We start from the raw sequence: 15,046 nt of genomic DNA, 5'->3' as shown, positions 1-15,046 counted from the left end.
TCAGGTGAACTGCACGTTCCTCAGGTCAAACACCAAAAAGAGAGGCTTAGAGACATGCTCCTGGCCCCACTCCCACCAGAAGTTCTAAGCAAAGATAGACATAGGTTCTCATGCATACCTATGGGACAAGTAGTAGGATCCAAATTGAAAATTGAAGTGCTGGTCTGTTTATCTTGAAGTGAGTTGCACAGGTGGCCAGGTGATAGAGCTGTGGTGGGGAGACATGGTCCCAGGAGCGCAGTGTCCCTGCCGAGTCATGAAAGGGGAGGAGGCTCTCTGATGGGAAAGGGGGCAGTGAGGCACAAAGGGCCTAGACTCATGAGTTAGACAAGCCCGTGTTCCCTCCCAGCCTCTCCACCTGCCAGCCCCATGACAAGATCATCCACTCTCAGCTCTGCCTGTGCCATCTGCAAATGAGCATTTGTGATTCTGCCTCTGTCACGGAGCTTTGAGATTCAGATTTCTTAGATATCATCTGTGAAATATATAATTTCAAAGAGCCAAGCATAAAGCTGACACTTGCTATGTTTCCTGGGTGCACAGTGGGTCATGAGTCTCTTGGGATGGCCGGGGCTGCTGGCTTGGCTGGGCCAGGCCTGGACTCCTCCTTCTCCAGTACTCAGTGATGCGAAATTAGGTGCACGAAATTAGGTGTGCTCCGACCTGGCCACGGCCAACTTCCCCTTGCAGTTTTATGACGTCAAGCACCTGACTTGGGGACTTTGGACCTTGGCCCCAGACCAAGGTGAGGGTAGGTTTTTCTGGCTGGAGGTACGCTCAGACCCTCTGAAAGCAGTTGGATGGGTTCTGAGGGTGGAGAAGGGGAGGGGCCTCCTCATGCCCTGCAGGGGGGATCCAGCTCAGCAACTGTTCTGCATTGGGGCTGGGCGCACTTGGTCTTCAGGTTGGGGTAAGTGGCTCCAGGACCACTCTGGCTGGAGAGCAGGGAGGCCAAGCTCTCAGCAGCCTGGACACCCTCATGACGGCCTTTTCTGTGGGGCCAGGCAGGAAGGTCTGGCTGCTTTGTTCTGGACCCAAGTCCCCTGCTTTGGGGCTGGGAGCTGAGTTCCTCACCACAGGGAGGCTCCTGGCTCAGAGCAGCCTCAGACCACGTTTAGTACATTTCCCAGGTGGCGAGTGGGTGGATGGTGGGGACACCGGTGGTGGGTGGGGCCATCGGAGCAGCAGCAGAGGAGGGCCTGGGGGGCTGGGATTCAGCACCTTCAGGCAGGGCCCCACTGAGGGCACTCCCAGAGGCCTGCCTTGCTCCCCACCTGGATGGGGCAGGGGCCCCCAGAGCTCAGGAGCTCTGTAGCTGCGCAGGAATCTTCTGTCTCCTAAAATCCCTGAGCCCCGCCGGCAGGCAAAGGAGAGGAGTTAGTCATGTTCTCTCTGGAGCTGTTCTGACAATAGCTGCCAAAGCTGACCTCTGCCTCCACACCGCCCCCGCCCACCCCCCTACCCCCACACTGTACCTGGCCCCTCTCGTGCTCCTGTCTTATATCCACCTTGATTGGTAGCATTTACTGATTTCAGTGGTGTAAATTGCCCCACAATGGCCCATTCCGAGCTGCCAACGTGAGGTCACTGAGCAAGCTGGAAAGAGGCGCCCACAGTCAGCCCTGGCAGCTCCTAAGAGCCAGCTTCGGCTCATCCCTGGGCAATATCCGTGCCTCTGCACCCCTGCTCCAACCTTGTGCTCTGAGTCGGGGTCTTACACAGGGTAATGAAGTGTGCTGATCTGAAGCTCCAGCAAGCAGGTTTCAAGCCTGATAGGCCTAGGCCTGGGAGTTCAGGTGCCAGGGGTCCTGGTCCCAGTTCTGACATCACCTTCCTGCACGGGCCTTAGTTTCCCCATTTGTAAGATGGCTACATTGTAAAATGCCTACATCATTGCTGAGATCTCTTGTGAATATAAAATTCTACACATTGGGCCTGAAACTGCCATAACCACTGGCCAGTGGTCACCATGAATGAATGCGCTTTAGACAAAACTGCAAACCCTGAGACAGGCTGGGCAGGGTTGGGATTCCAGGGCCTGACCCAGAGTGGGCAGAGGTATCCAGAGGGCAGCCCAAGATGGGCAGGAGTGCTCTTAGTTGGGGTCCAGACAGGGGCCATCAGTGGCATACAAGGCCAAGGGGTGCCTCTCCAGGGAGCAGATGAGGAGACTGGTTCTGGAGGGGTACCCAAGGCTGTGCCTGGGAAGCAGCAGGTTTTCGGGAAATGCTCACACTGATCCCCGCCTCTGCCCAAAGCCTGGTGCTCTGGGCCTTCCTCCAGGAAGCAGGGAGGTGTCTTTGGTGCCTGACTTGTAGAGCTAGAGTGAGAAGCAATCAGACCTCCCTGACTCAACATTACCTGGGCCATGCAGGACTGCCTTTTCTCTGCCCACCCCTGTCCTTCTACACCTGTGTCTCCTCCAGATAGGACCAGGACTGACTGACTTGTCTCCTTCTCCCTGGCATCTGGCACAGGGTCTGGCAAATGTCCAGCTCTCAGAGAATGGAGAGTTGAGTGGAGAGAGAGGTGAGAAGATGGATGGATAGACAGATGATGGATGGCTGGAAGGAAGGAAGGATAGATGGGGAGCTGGATGGGTGTGTGGATGGGTAGATAGATGAATGGATGGATGGGTAGATGGATGATGGATAGATGGAAGGATGGATGGATGGATGAATAGATGAGGGGCTGGATGGGTGTGTGAATGGGTGGATGAGTGGATGGATGGGTAGATGGATGATGGATAGATGGAAGGAAGGATGGATGGCTGGATAGATAGGGAGCTGGATGGGTGTGTGGATGGGTGGGTGGGTGGGTGGGTGGATGGATGGATGGATGGATGGATGGATAGATGGATGGGTGGATGAGTAGATGGATGGATGGAAGGAAGGAAGGGGAGCTGGATGGGTGTGTGGATGGGTGGATGGATGGATGGATGGGTAGATGGGTGATGGATAGATGGATGGAAGGAAGGAAGGAAGGAAGGGGAGCTGGATGGGTGTGTGGATGGGTGGGTGGGTGGGGGCATGGCTGGATAGGTGGATGAATGAATGGGTAGACAGATGGATGGATGAGTGCATGGGTGGACCCATGGATGCATGGATGGGTGAGTGGGTGGGTGGCTGACTGAATCTGTGACTTGGGGTAAGGGTGGGGACCAAAGTTGGGCAGTGTGCTCAGACCTCTCTATAGGCAGTACTTGGTACATTGTCAGCACTCAATAAATTTTCACTTCATGGGAAGGAGAGGATAGCATGGCCCCAGTGAGAAGGAGACTTGTGTCCCCAGTGCCAAGGAGTATGTCATGAAAAGTGCTCAGGGCAGTCTAAGGAGTTGAGACTGCCCCCTGTCCTCCCTAGGGCTCTGCTGCCCCGTTCTCTCCAGGACAGAATGAAGCACTGGGCACCTGTCCCCATGCTTAGGATTACAAAGAGATGCAGCCCATCCAAGTCTTCGGGAGGGTCCAGCTTGGAATCTGCTTCCCTCTCTTTCCCTGTCAGGGAGCTTGGTCAGATGGGTCAGGACTAGAGGCTGCACTCCCAGGCCCTGCCAACCAACAAGCAGGGCTTAGCTCTTCAGGGCATGTGCTGATTAAAACCTGACTCTACTGCCCCCAAGGTCAAGGTGGAGGCTGGCTCGGTGGTCTAATGCCTGGTATAACAGCTGGCACCATGTGTCCCAGGTCCCCTGGCCTGGAGTTGGCCCCGTGGAGCTCTGAGGCCTCCAAGATGAGTGAAGGGGAGGAGCCAGGAAGATGGCAGCTCTTTTCTGGGCGGCAGGAGGAGGGTGGAAAAAGCGAGTTCAAAAGCAGATTGGAAGAGAGGGGCCCAGACTGGAGGTTGGGAGCTTTTTTCTTTCCTGGGTTTCATTTGCCAGTTTTTTGTTTTTTGGGGGTTTTTTCGCCAAGCCTCTGGGACTGTCAGATGGGAAGGCAGGGATTAAGGAACTGGAGTCCTCTGGCCACACCATCTGGGGGAATGGCTTGGACTGAGGTCAGGGACCTCAGGCAGGGACTAAGGTGGTGTTGGGGTCAGGCCTTGCCCAGGGTCCTTTGCCTCACCTTTCTGCAGCACAGCATTCCCACTGCCAAAATGCACAAAGTAATTGTCCTGCCTCTTTTCCCAAATTATCCTCACCTTTGCATTTGAGCCAAGAGGGATCTCTGGAGTCCCTTCTTCTTCCTAAAGGGTACACTGAGGCAGAGTGAGGCATGTGACCTATCAGAAGGGCTGCAGCCGGTCAGACAGGGCAGGGCTGGGACCAACAACGCTCACTGGATTGGCAGGGCCAGGGGCACTGTCCCTGGCCCTGAGTGTGACTCAGGCACTCACTGAGTCACACTGAGTGACGGACAGGGGCCAAGGGTTTACCTGCTCCCACCTTGACACTCTTTCCACAGCCTGTGCTTCCTGGGTGAAGGGAGTGTGAGATACCAAACCGGATTCTCCTAGGAAACCAGAGAGTATGCCTTTGGGGTGGGGGTAGGGGGCTAAGAGACAGGGTTTCCCTCTGTCGCCCAGGCTGGAGCACAGTGGTGCAATCATAGGTCATTGCAGCCTTGAATTCCTGGGCTCAAGTGATCCTCCCACCTCAGCCTCCCAAGTAGCTGGGGCCACAGTACAGGTGTGCACCACCACACCTGGCTAATCTTGTGTGTGTGTAGAGATGTGGTCTCTCTAGGTTGCCCAAGCTGGTCTTGAACTCCTGGCCTCAAGCAATCCTCCCACCTCTGCCTCCCATACTGCTGGGATGCATGCGCCGTGCCCAGCCAGGAGTGTGCCTTTGAACCTTCATGGTTTCAGGCTCTGGGAGCCATTTTTCACACTTCAAGGGTGATGACTGGGTAGGGGGACGGGGACAGTGAAGACCCTGGGAGAGGGGCCGTGGATATGAAGAGTGAGTAGCAGGGACAGGGACCCAGGTCTCTCTCTCTCTCTTTTCATTCATTTATTCAAAACTATGCATCCAGGGCCAGGTGCAGTGGCTCACGCCTGTCATCTCAGCACTTTGGGAGGTGGAGGCAGGTGGATCACTTGAGGCCAGAAGTTCGAGACCAGCCTGGCCAACATGGTGAAATCCTGTCTCTACTAAAAATACAAAAATTAGCTGGGCGTGGTGGTGTAGGCCTGTAATCCCAGCTACTTGGGAGGCTGAGGCACGAGAATCGTTTGAACCCAGGAGGCGGAGTTTGCAGTGAGCCAAGATCACGCCACTGCACTCCAGCCTGGGCAACAGAGGGAGACTCTGTCTGAAAAAAAAAAAACAAAAAGGAGATCATGAAGCTAGAAGAGGAGAAAGCCACATGACCACAGAGGCAGAGATTAGAGAGATTGACCCCAAGACAAGGAATGCCTGCTGCAGCCACCAGAAGCGGCAAGAAGCAAGGAGGGTTCCTCCCCTGGGGCCTCCTGAGGGAGCGTGGCCCTGCCGATGCCTTGATTTCACCACAGTGGTCATGCTGATACTGCACCTCTGGCCTCCAGCGCTGTGAGAGAACCCATTTCTGCTGTTTAAACCACCCGGTTTGTGGCAATTTGTTACAGTGTCCACAGGAAACTCTGAGAGCATGTAGCAGCATATCAGTGAGCTAACAGACACAGAGATGCACCATCGGTAGAAGGCGGCAAGTTCCAGGGGTGGAAGGAAAGTGTTAAAAGCAGCACGGATTGGGTGGGGAAGAGGGCATGTTGCTGAATTACACAGAAACGGCAGAGTGGAGCTCGCTGAGGTGAGAGCTGGCCAGAGACAGGAAGAAGGTTAGGACTAAGGAAAAGAAAGGAGGAAGTGGCCAGGCACGGTGGAATCCCAGAGCTTCAGGAGGCCAAGGTGGGAGGATTGCTTGAGCACAGGAGTTTGAGACCAGCCAGGGCAACAAAGCAAGATCCCATCTCTAAAAATAAAATTAAAAAATTTCAGTAAAAAAGGAGGGAGCGGTAATTGTCAAATCCTGAGCCAGCGGTGAGCCTGGTGGAGAGACCAGCAGGGAAACTGAGGCCATCAGGGAGACAGCGTCTTACAGGGGATGTGGCTCAGCGGTCACACCAACCCTCTCGGCCACGTCCCAGCTTTGCCCTTCTCCAGCCAATCTGCCTTAGACTTGTCACCTAACCCCTGGCCTCGGTTTCCTCACCTTCAGGGTAACACCTGACCCATGCCTCGGTGGTGCGGTGAAGAGCAGTGTCATTCCCCATCCTCACGTCATCCTCCTGTGCTTAGGACTTGCGTTTTGTCTTTTCATTTTCTTCCATCCACGGCTGCTCTTGGGTCCTGAGAGAGTGAGTTCAACAAAGGAACCAGGATGCTCCCCGACCTGGGAGGACAAGGGCTCCAGGCCTCCTTCTCTGTGGCCTTGGGCAAACCGGAAACTTCCTCCTACCTGCCTCCCCCATTTCCTCCCTCTCTCCCTCCCATCTTCATTGTCTGTTTTAGAAAACAACAGTGCCCACTTTTCCATCTCAAGATATTCAAAGAATGCAGAAATATAGAAAGTCAATATCATCCTCCTGGTCCCACTTCCCAGAAGGGGCCACTGTGCATGGCTGGCTGTGCCCACCAGCCTTATTTATTTATTTGTTTGTTTGAGACAGGGTTTCACCATGTTGGCCAGGCAGGTCTCAAACTCCTGACCTTCGGTGATCCTCCCGCCAGCCTTTGCAACATCATTGTGTCCTCCTCTCATGTATTTGTGGGGCACAGCGGGCTCCGCCACACAGCATCCTGCAGTTTGTTTCTGCACTCTGTTGGTGCCCAGCTTCCATGCCCATGGGTTCGTGTAGACAGTGTCCTTCCTAGTAACCGTCCGGGGGTGGGGTGGACCCAGCATGTCCCCTGGAGATGGCTCAAATATTTCCAGTTCAGACAGTGGCAGTAGCAGCAGCAGCCCTGGCCCGGCCTTGTGGTGCTCTTGAGGGTGCGTTTCTGTCGGATCAGTCCTGGAACCTGGCCTGTGGGTCAAAGGCCCTCTCACAAAGCACCCTCCAGCAGGTTTGGGCTGCCTTATACTCTTCTCCAGGTTGTCGAACTCCTGTTTCTCTGAAAGGGAAAAGCCGCAGCCCCTTGCCTGGGGGAAGGCCACACCCAGATGCGTTTCCCTTAGATTTCACCCCGAGCATGCCCAGACCCTGTTATTATAAAGCCCGGTGATGTCCGCCCCTCCACATCTTTGACCTGAAGCCCGTGCAGAACCCCACAGTGTTCAAGATCTCTGGAGGTGGTTTCTGTTGCTAAAACCTAGAGCTCTGGTATCCAGAAAGGGGTTTCTCTGTGGAGCCTGGATACCCTTGCCTCGTGCTCCCACCCCAGTCACTCCATTAGGTACTGGGCTTGGGTCGCCTCCCAAACCAAAAGGCATGGGCAGGAGGGTTGCTGTGAGTAATCTGGGGAGCTCAGCGTGCCCCAGCGTCCGTTCAGTCTCCCTTCATGCGAATGAGCTGGCCTCTCCCCTGTGGAGGTACAGCAGGGATCCGGCTGAGAGCCTGGATGGTTACAGTCCAGGGTGGCTGAGGCAGTGCCGCTGGTGGGTCCCATTTCTGGGCATGGTGGGGTGGATGTGGTGGATGTGCACCTTTCGGCCTTTGAGGAGATACCCCAGGGGGCCCAGGTTTCCTCTTTATCTAATTAGTTTCTGGGCCGGGAATCTGATAGACCCTTTAACCTTGCCAGAGAAGGTTACCGCTGAGGCTGGCGGAAATTTGGCAGCATCAAATGATGGGCTTGGACTTCTGAATTCTCCTCCAGTGCGAATCCTGAGCCGCGGAGAAACATCTCTGTGCAGGAGCTGTTTATTCAGGGGGTTTCCGCCGTCAGACTTTGCCAAGAGAAAAGGGACCCCACGCTGAGCAGCAGAGAGAGAACGGGGGACTTGGCAGAGCCGGTGCCGCTGTGTGCTTCAAGAGGCAGGACCCTCCCAGCAGGTGCCGGCAGCCCCAAGGCACAGATGCAGAGGCATCCCCGAGCAGCCAGTGTCCTCTGAGTCCTCCTGCAAGTCAGGGCACCTGTCAGCTGGGCCACCAGCACCCCAGAGCCAGTTGCCTTTTAAGTGGGTACTGGCCTGTGGTCTGAGCATTGACGGGGATGGTTCACACCCAGGGAGAGTGTGATTTACTAGGAAGAGTGTGGGAGTATCTCGGCCGCAGGACCTGCCTGCTTGCTTGCTGGTGCCCAATCTGAGGTGTGCCTGCATCCTGTTGAGAGTCCCCACAAGGAGGACGGTGCCTGCAGTTGGATGAGTCAGCCCACAATCTGCGAAAGATTGTTGAAAACACCCCCACTCCATATTAAAGCCTCATCCACCTTGAGCCTCACCAGGGAAAGAGAGAGAGGCTGGGGTGGCATGGCCAAGTGAACTGTGGAGCCCAGAGACATCCATGTCCTAACCCCTGGGGCCTGTGAGTGTGTGACTTCACCCGGCCAAGGGGAATGAAGCTTCAGAGGGGGACTTGTCAGCTAATCAGCTGGTGGTGGATTAGGAGATGGTCCTGGCGAATGCAGGTGGGCCCTGTGCCATCACAGGGATCCTCATCAGAGGGCAGGGGGTCAGAGGCAGAGAGTGGGGAGCTGGGACGATGGGAGCGGAGGCTGGAGTGATCTGAGGAATGATCATGGGTCAGGGAACGTGGTGGCCACTAGAAACCAGAGAACACAAGCAGCCCCTCCTCTGGAGCCTGGGTGGGGAGCCCGCCCTCCAACACCTCAGTCTTAGCCCAGTGAGACCTCGGACCCCCAGAACTGTAAGAGGCTAAATGTGTCTAGCTGCCAAGTTTGTGTTACGTTGTTACAGCCGTCACAGGACACTCACAGAGTGCTTGCAAGCATTCAATGCATAGACTGAAGAGGTTGAGAACCCGCTCTGACAGAGGCTGTTTTGGCCGACATTAGCTGTGAGTGTGTAACTCCCTGGGATGGGGTGCGATGGCCCCACGTTACAGATGGAGAAACCGAGGCTGCAGGAGTTCTGCTCCCTTCCCCAGGGCCAAGACATGCAGTAGAAAAGGACAGGAAATGCCGCCTCTCTCAGACTGTGCAGACTGCATGCTGCCTGCTCCACCGACCCCTGTCCCACCCGTCGGCCTCCGTGGGACCCCAAGTCATTTCCAGTCACAGTGATCACAGGGGTCTGGGAAGGGACTGTGCAGCCCCAAAGGCCACAGTCACCCTGGGCTCTGTGGATTTGGGAATGGATCACACAACTGTTGGCAGGTGGACGTCCAGGGTCCCGAGGGAGGGGCACCGGTTCTAGTTGTCACTCCATGGGCCAGAGGGCCTGGCTGGGGTGTGGCAGCGGGCAGCGGTGGCCTCTGTTGCTCAGGCCACAGACATCCTCATGATACCCCAAAATGCGCCAGACACCGTTCCAGGCCCTGGGGCGTATAGTCAGCACGACAGATGGCACCGGGCCTCCCAAGCCTCCCGTTCAGTGGAGGTGCCCTCTGTTCCTCGGCAGGACCCAGGCCCAGCCCTGACCCACTTCTCCCCAGCACAGGGGAATGGGACACAGCCCTTTGTACTGGTCATGGGGAGACAGCTGATGGCTGGAAGCCTCCGCTGCTGCCAGGCACAGAGGGACTGCCCCAGGCAGGTGCACACCCCAAAAGAGGGGGCCGAGGGTGCAGGGAGATCTCCCACCTCCCTGATGGTCCGGGGATAGGCCTGCCCTGCTCCTCAAAAGGGGGCTGGCTGGCTGCTGGTGGTGGGAACAGGCTCTGCAGTTGGCCTCGGGGGTTGGATGCCCAGCTCCGCCATTTGCCAGCTGTGTGACCTTGAGCTCCTCACTGGACCTTTCTGAGCCGCAGCTTCCTTGTTTGTAAAATGGGAAAGAAAATGGTGCCTCCCTCCACAGTGTGTTGTGTGAGAGAGAGAATGAGGGCAGGGGCTCCCCATGGGGCTTGGCATGGTGTGCGTACCCGGCCTGCCAGAGCCCAGCGTTGCGGTCAGCCGTGTTTTACTACCTGCATTTGCACGGATGACCCCGTGCCGTCACCTGTTACGGGCCTGGTGTCTTCTTCTTCCCAGTCATGTGAGGGCGGGGGAGGAAGGTTGTCCTAGCGAGCATGCTGAGATCCCCTGGCTAAGGAGAGTGAGTGTGTTGGAGCTTGGAGGTAACCTGGGGATATCTGGAGGATGTATGTCAAGGCAAATGAATACCTGTGCAGCCTGGACTTGGGGTCAGGGGCATGGACCAAACAGTTCGCAGTTAGAAAAATACCAGTTCTGGGCTGGGCGCAGTGGGTCATGCCTGTAATCCTAGCACTTCAGGAGGCCGAGGCGGGCGGATCACAAGGTCAGGAATTTGAGACCAACCTGGCCAACATGGTGAAACCCTGTCTCTACTAAAAATACAAAAATTAGCTGGGTGTGGTGGTGCACACCTATAGTCCCAGCTACTTGGGAGGCTGAGGCTGGAGAATCACTTGAACCCGGGAGGTGGAGGTTGCAGTGAGCTGAGATCACACCACTGCACTGCTCTCCAGCCTGGGTGATAGAGCAAGACTCCATCTCAAAAAAAAAAAAAAAAAAAAAAAGCCTGTTCTTAGCAGACTGGAAATGAGCAGGTCGAGAGGCAGGGAGAGGCAGGGAGAGGCAGGACAGATAACTCCAGCTTTAATAAAGAACAGGCAGGAGGCTGGGCGTGGTGGCTCATGCCTGGAATCCCAGCACCTTGGGAGGCTGAGGCATCAGGATTCCTTGAGCCCTGGAGTTTGAGACCAGCCTGGGCAACAAAGCGAGACCCCATCTCTACAAAAATTAGCTGGGCCTGGTGGCGCATGCCTGTATTCCCACCCAGGAGGCCGAGGCAGAAGAATTGCTTGAGCCCAGGAGGTGAAGGTTGCAGTGAGCCAAGATCGTGCCACTGCACTCCAGCCTGGGTGACAGAGTGAGACTCTGTTTCAAAAACAAACAAACAACAACACAACAAAAGAACAAGAAGGAAAATGAGAAGGAAATCAGGAAGTCCTGGAGAATGGGGAAGATTTAAAGTGAGAAACTGGCTGGGGCTGAAGACCTGGGAAAATTGGTGCAAGGGGTTGTCTTTTGTCTTTGGAGGGGGCCCCCTAACAAAATAAATGAACTGGACACCATGGGAAATGGCAGTGAGGATGCCAGTGGAGATGGTGGAAGGGAACAGAGGGCTGGAACCTTCTGCAAAAAGAAGGAGCGAGCCTACAACTGGGACAAGCAGCTCGTTCTTAAGATGTGTCTTCCTCAGCGAGAAGTTTGCACACATCTGGGAAATGGGTACGCAAGGACCCTGGCTTTGGTGGTCGAGTGCAGAGCAGTGTGAGAGGGAGTGGGCATCTCGGGCTCAGGGGGAGCCTGGCTTCCGGAGCCCTCAACAGGGCTTCTGGTGGGACGTGCTGTGTTGGACCTGGTGCTCTGAGGGTTCCCTGCCTGCCCGCTTCTTGGAGGTCATCTCAGCAGTGGACGTGGTCATATTAATGGTGGACTTCCTTGGGTGGGTGCAATGAGCAGGGTTGTCCAGGGGCAACCAGCCTTACCTTTACCTCATTGGGAGACGCTTCAGCCCCCATGCTGTGGCCAAGGGTCCGGTCACAAAGACAGGGCATCAGTGGTGTCATGGAAGGTCAGAGGGAAGGCAGGGTTTCATTCGAGCGAGGCTAATTTTCAGAATCGTGGGTGGTGGCCCGGGTTCTAGGAACACTTAAAGGATAGAGGAGACTCGGCACCACGTGCTGAATCCAGGAGGAGGATGTTGGCCGCTCAGCTGGATGCATTGAATGACAAAGACTTTGCAACTGTGTGGCTTGTCTGGGGTGTCTGGAAGCCCAGTCTGTGGACAGGCTGGTCCTCAGGTCTAGCAGAGGGACCCATTAGCAGAGGCAGCGTCTGGCCTCAGACATCCACTCATCAGGTCCAGACCAGACCGTGGGCCTTGGCTGTATCTTCTGATCCACTCCGTTGCTAAGTTCCCCTCTGTACCTAAACTCTGTCTCCCTTTACTTCACTTGGCTTTTTAGAGATTTCTCAGCCTTGGTGTGTGTTGTCCCCAGCCCTGTGATGTACAAGTAATTGCCTGTATACGTGGGATTAGCCAGCTTGCTCAGGAAGTCAGTGTTGTGGTTAGTGGGAAATTCAGACCGGTTGAGTCCAAGGAAACCACTTTTCCTTAGTTCTGTTTTCTGAACCAAAGTTCATTTGAGATGAGGGGTTGTGACTAGATCTTCTCTGGACAGTTGAATATAGAGCAGGGCCCCCATCTGTGTCACTGGGGCTCATGAATCCTCCTTGCCAATGACTAGAGTCCTTGAAGGAATAAGGGCTGGGTCAGTGTTTCCCAACCCAGAATATAACTCGGAGACCTCTTAAGTTGTCAGGAAGCCATCCCAGTGTTTTGCCCGTATCTTCTAATTAATAACTACCCTGCCCCCTCACTCCAAGCTCCAAATATTCACATTATGTTCATTAGAAAGCATTTGGCTGCAAGTAATAAAAAACCTCACTCACAGTGGCTGAGACCACAATGGCGAGTCCAGAGGAGGGCACAGCTAGCATCCATTGCACGGGCAGTGACATCTCTGAAGGCCTCTTGGCCTCTCCCTCATGGTGGCAAGATGGCAGCCATAGCTCCAAGTATGATGTCCCCATAGCACGTCCTACTCAGGAACGTAAAGGAGGGGGTGCCAGGGAGCAGTTCCCCAACCCCCACTCCCTTTCCAAATAGTCCAGCCTTTCCCAGAGGTCCCAGCAGACCTCGGGTCCGCTTGGCCTTGGGTCTCCTTGGCCAAAACTATTCCATAGGGTCATGACCATCCATAACTGCAGGAAAGGCTGCAATAGCAAGTGTCTGGCTTTTCCAGTCGCTGCAGCAGGCAGCAAGCTGGGAAGAGTGCCAGAGTCTGTGACAGGAGCTGGGTGTGGTGGAGAAAGAAGACTTAGTCCCCTCCCTCTAAGCACACAGTGTCACGTGAGGGACAGCATTAAGGTCCTCTTGGAAGTGGTGGCTATTGCAGTGCGCTTTGAAGAATGAATAGGAGTTCAACTGATAGAGATAGCAGGTATAGAGTGTTGTAGGTGGGAGTAAAAGTGTGAACCACAGACCAGCACACACCTGCTGTGCCCAGGAGATGCCTTGTCTTCTGACACATTGCCAGTTCATTGAGATGGGAATCATAAAACACAGCCATAACCAGCATGGGGTGTGAACTGTAAACGTTTATCCAGATGTTCCTGCACCCATTTTTAGGTGTGGGGCCTTGCTTTGCCTTTGGCCTTGCTCACCCCACCGTGTCCTTCCTCCCTGGCATTACCCAGCCCAGCATTTGGTCCACCATTTCCAATTTCAAATTTTTTGATACAGAGCAGGATCTCCTGGCAAAATCTTCTCAGAGCATCCCAGGGTGCCCTCCCAGCAGCTCAGATACTGGCAGGACAGTAAATCACCAATTCCTTCTCCAGTTCTTTCTCCAGAACATGCTGCTAGGACCAACGCCTCCCCTGAGGGTTCTTTCCTTTCTCTCTGTCATTGTCTGGGTTGGGAGGGCTGTGAGCTGTCGGGGAACTGGCCCCCACCTGGCCAGGAATCAACAGTGCTTCAGTATCACTATCGTTCAGTAACCCACAGTGGTTCAGACAGCCTGGCTTTGCCTCCAGCCCTGTGTTCTGGTGCAAATCACTCAACCTCTCTGCTTTATTTGCTCCCCTGTAAAGTGAGCGTCATCACAGCTCCTGCCTCATACGGTCATTATGAGGATTCAATTAGTTAAACCCACAGAACACTTAGAACAACGCCTGGTGTGTGGAAGGTGCTCAAAGGCCGTAGCATAATAATTACACTAATTACTCTAATTATGAATTATTACTCATTAAGCCAGAATTCAGGTCTATCCCCACTTGGAGCCAACCAGAGCATAAAAACCTAGACAAAGTAAAGAGGTGTTTCTTTGTTTTCCAGAAAGTACTCCCCATGTGATCCTTCTGAACCTCTCAGGCATCTCACAGATGATCTCATTTCTAAAACGCGTTCTCCTTGCCTCTTTTCCAGAGCTCAGGTGTTACATCAAGCCAGGCACACCTGTACACAGTAATGTCAGCATGGCTTCTGCAGCAAGATTGAGACTTTTCTTAGTTTTTATTATACATAGTTATATGCCATGTACATGTATTATTTGTGTGGACTTAAATGTCGTTAGAATATTTAGAGCCTATCTTTAGAAACTGCAGCCCACAGGCCAAATCTGGCCCATTGCCTGTTTTTGTAAATAAAGTTTTATTGGAACACAGCCCCACCCATCATTTACATATTGTCATGGCTGCCTCTGTGCCACAACTAGCAGAGTGAGTAGTTGCAACAGGGACCACCCATCCACCCTCAAAGCCTGGAATGTTCACTCTCTGGGCCGTTGCCTGGTCTAGAACATTTGCAGAACCCCTTCCAAAGGACATCATTGGCTGGACATTGTGGCTCACGCCTCTAATCCCAACACTTTGGGAGGCCGAGGCAGGCCAATTACCTGAGGTCAGGAGTTCGAGACCAGCCTGGCCAACATGGCAAAACCCCGTCTGTACTAAAAATACAAAAAGTAGACAGGCCTGGTGGCGGGCTCCCATAATTACAGCTACTTGGGAGGCTGAGGTCAGAGAATCACTTGAACCTGGGAGTTGGAGGTTGCAGTGAGCCAAGATCATGCCAAGCTGGCAAGTAAAAAGAGCAAAACTCCGTCTCAAAAAAAAAAAAGGGGACATCATTAAAATACTTCCCATTACAATGTGTCAGCCTCTATCTTAGTTCAGCTGCATTGCAGTAATGGATGCCTGAGCCTGGGTAATTGATAAAGAAAAGAGGTTTCTTTGGCTCACAGTTCTGCAGGCTGCCCAGGAAGCATGGTGCCAGCATCTGCTTCTGGTGAGAGCTTCAGGAAGCTTCCACTCATGGCGGAAGGCTAAGGGGAGCTGGCATCACATGGCAAGAGAGGAGGAAAGAGAGAGAAGAGGAAAGTGCCAGACTCTGTTTAACAATCAGATCTTGTGGGAACTAGGAGTAAGAACTCTCTCAGCCCCGGGAGAATGGAACCAAGCCATTCATGAG

The 15,046-nt window shown here is 54.2% G+C and overlaps 1 protein-coding gene across 24 annotated transcripts in view, besides 4 other annotated features; it reads left to right on the top strand.

The window, feature by feature from the left end:
- The window catches only part of SHANK2 (SH3 and multiple ankyrin repeat domains 2), a 785,381-nt gene that overhangs the window by 564,179 nt on the left and 206,156 nt on the right, over nt 1-15,046 (top strand). The gene's annotated exons all lie outside the window — the stretch shown is intronic.
- Nucleotides 509-1,030: an enhancer, noted in NCBI's record as "H3K4me1 hESC enhancer chr11:70534131-70534652 (GRCh37/hg19 assembly coordinates)". NCBI's record gives its function as "activates a minimal SCP1, AML or CMV promoter by ChIP-STARR-seq in naive H9 embryonic stem cells {active_cell/tissue: H9 hESC(naive)}" and the evidence as "EXISTENCE:reporter gene assay evidence [ECO:0000049][PMID:30033119]".
- Nucleotides 1,031-1,552: an enhancer, noted in NCBI's record as "H3K4me1 hESC enhancer chr11:70533609-70534130 (GRCh37/hg19 assembly coordinates)". NCBI's record gives its function as "activates a minimal SCP1, AML or CMV promoter by ChIP-STARR-seq in naive H9 embryonic stem cells {active_cell/tissue: H9 hESC(naive)}" and the evidence as "EXISTENCE:reporter gene assay evidence [ECO:0000049][PMID:30033119]".
- Nucleotides 7,144-7,908: an enhancer, noted in NCBI's record as "H3K4me1 hESC enhancer chr11:70527253-70528017 (GRCh37/hg19 assembly coordinates)". NCBI's record gives its function as "activates a minimal SCP1, AML or CMV promoter by ChIP-STARR-seq in naive H9 embryonic stem cells {active_cell/tissue: H9 hESC(naive)}" and the evidence as "EXISTENCE:reporter gene assay evidence [ECO:0000049][PMID:30033119]".
- Nucleotides 7,909-8,672: an enhancer, noted in NCBI's record as "H3K4me1 hESC enhancer chr11:70526489-70527252 (GRCh37/hg19 assembly coordinates)". NCBI's record gives its function as "activates a minimal SCP1, AML or CMV promoter by ChIP-STARR-seq in naive H9 embryonic stem cells {active_cell/tissue: H9 hESC(naive)}" and the evidence as "EXISTENCE:reporter gene assay evidence [ECO:0000049][PMID:30033119]".

The sequence above is a fragment of the Homo sapiens genome, chromosome 11 (genome assembly GCF_000001405.40).
Source record: "Homo sapiens chromosome 11, GRCh38.p14 Primary Assembly".
NCBI lineage: Eukaryota > Metazoa > Chordata > Mammalia > Primates > Hominidae > Homo > Homo sapiens.
The sequence above is the reverse complement of the archived record's forward strand: the minus strand, read 5'-3'. Positions and strand labels throughout refer to the sequence as shown.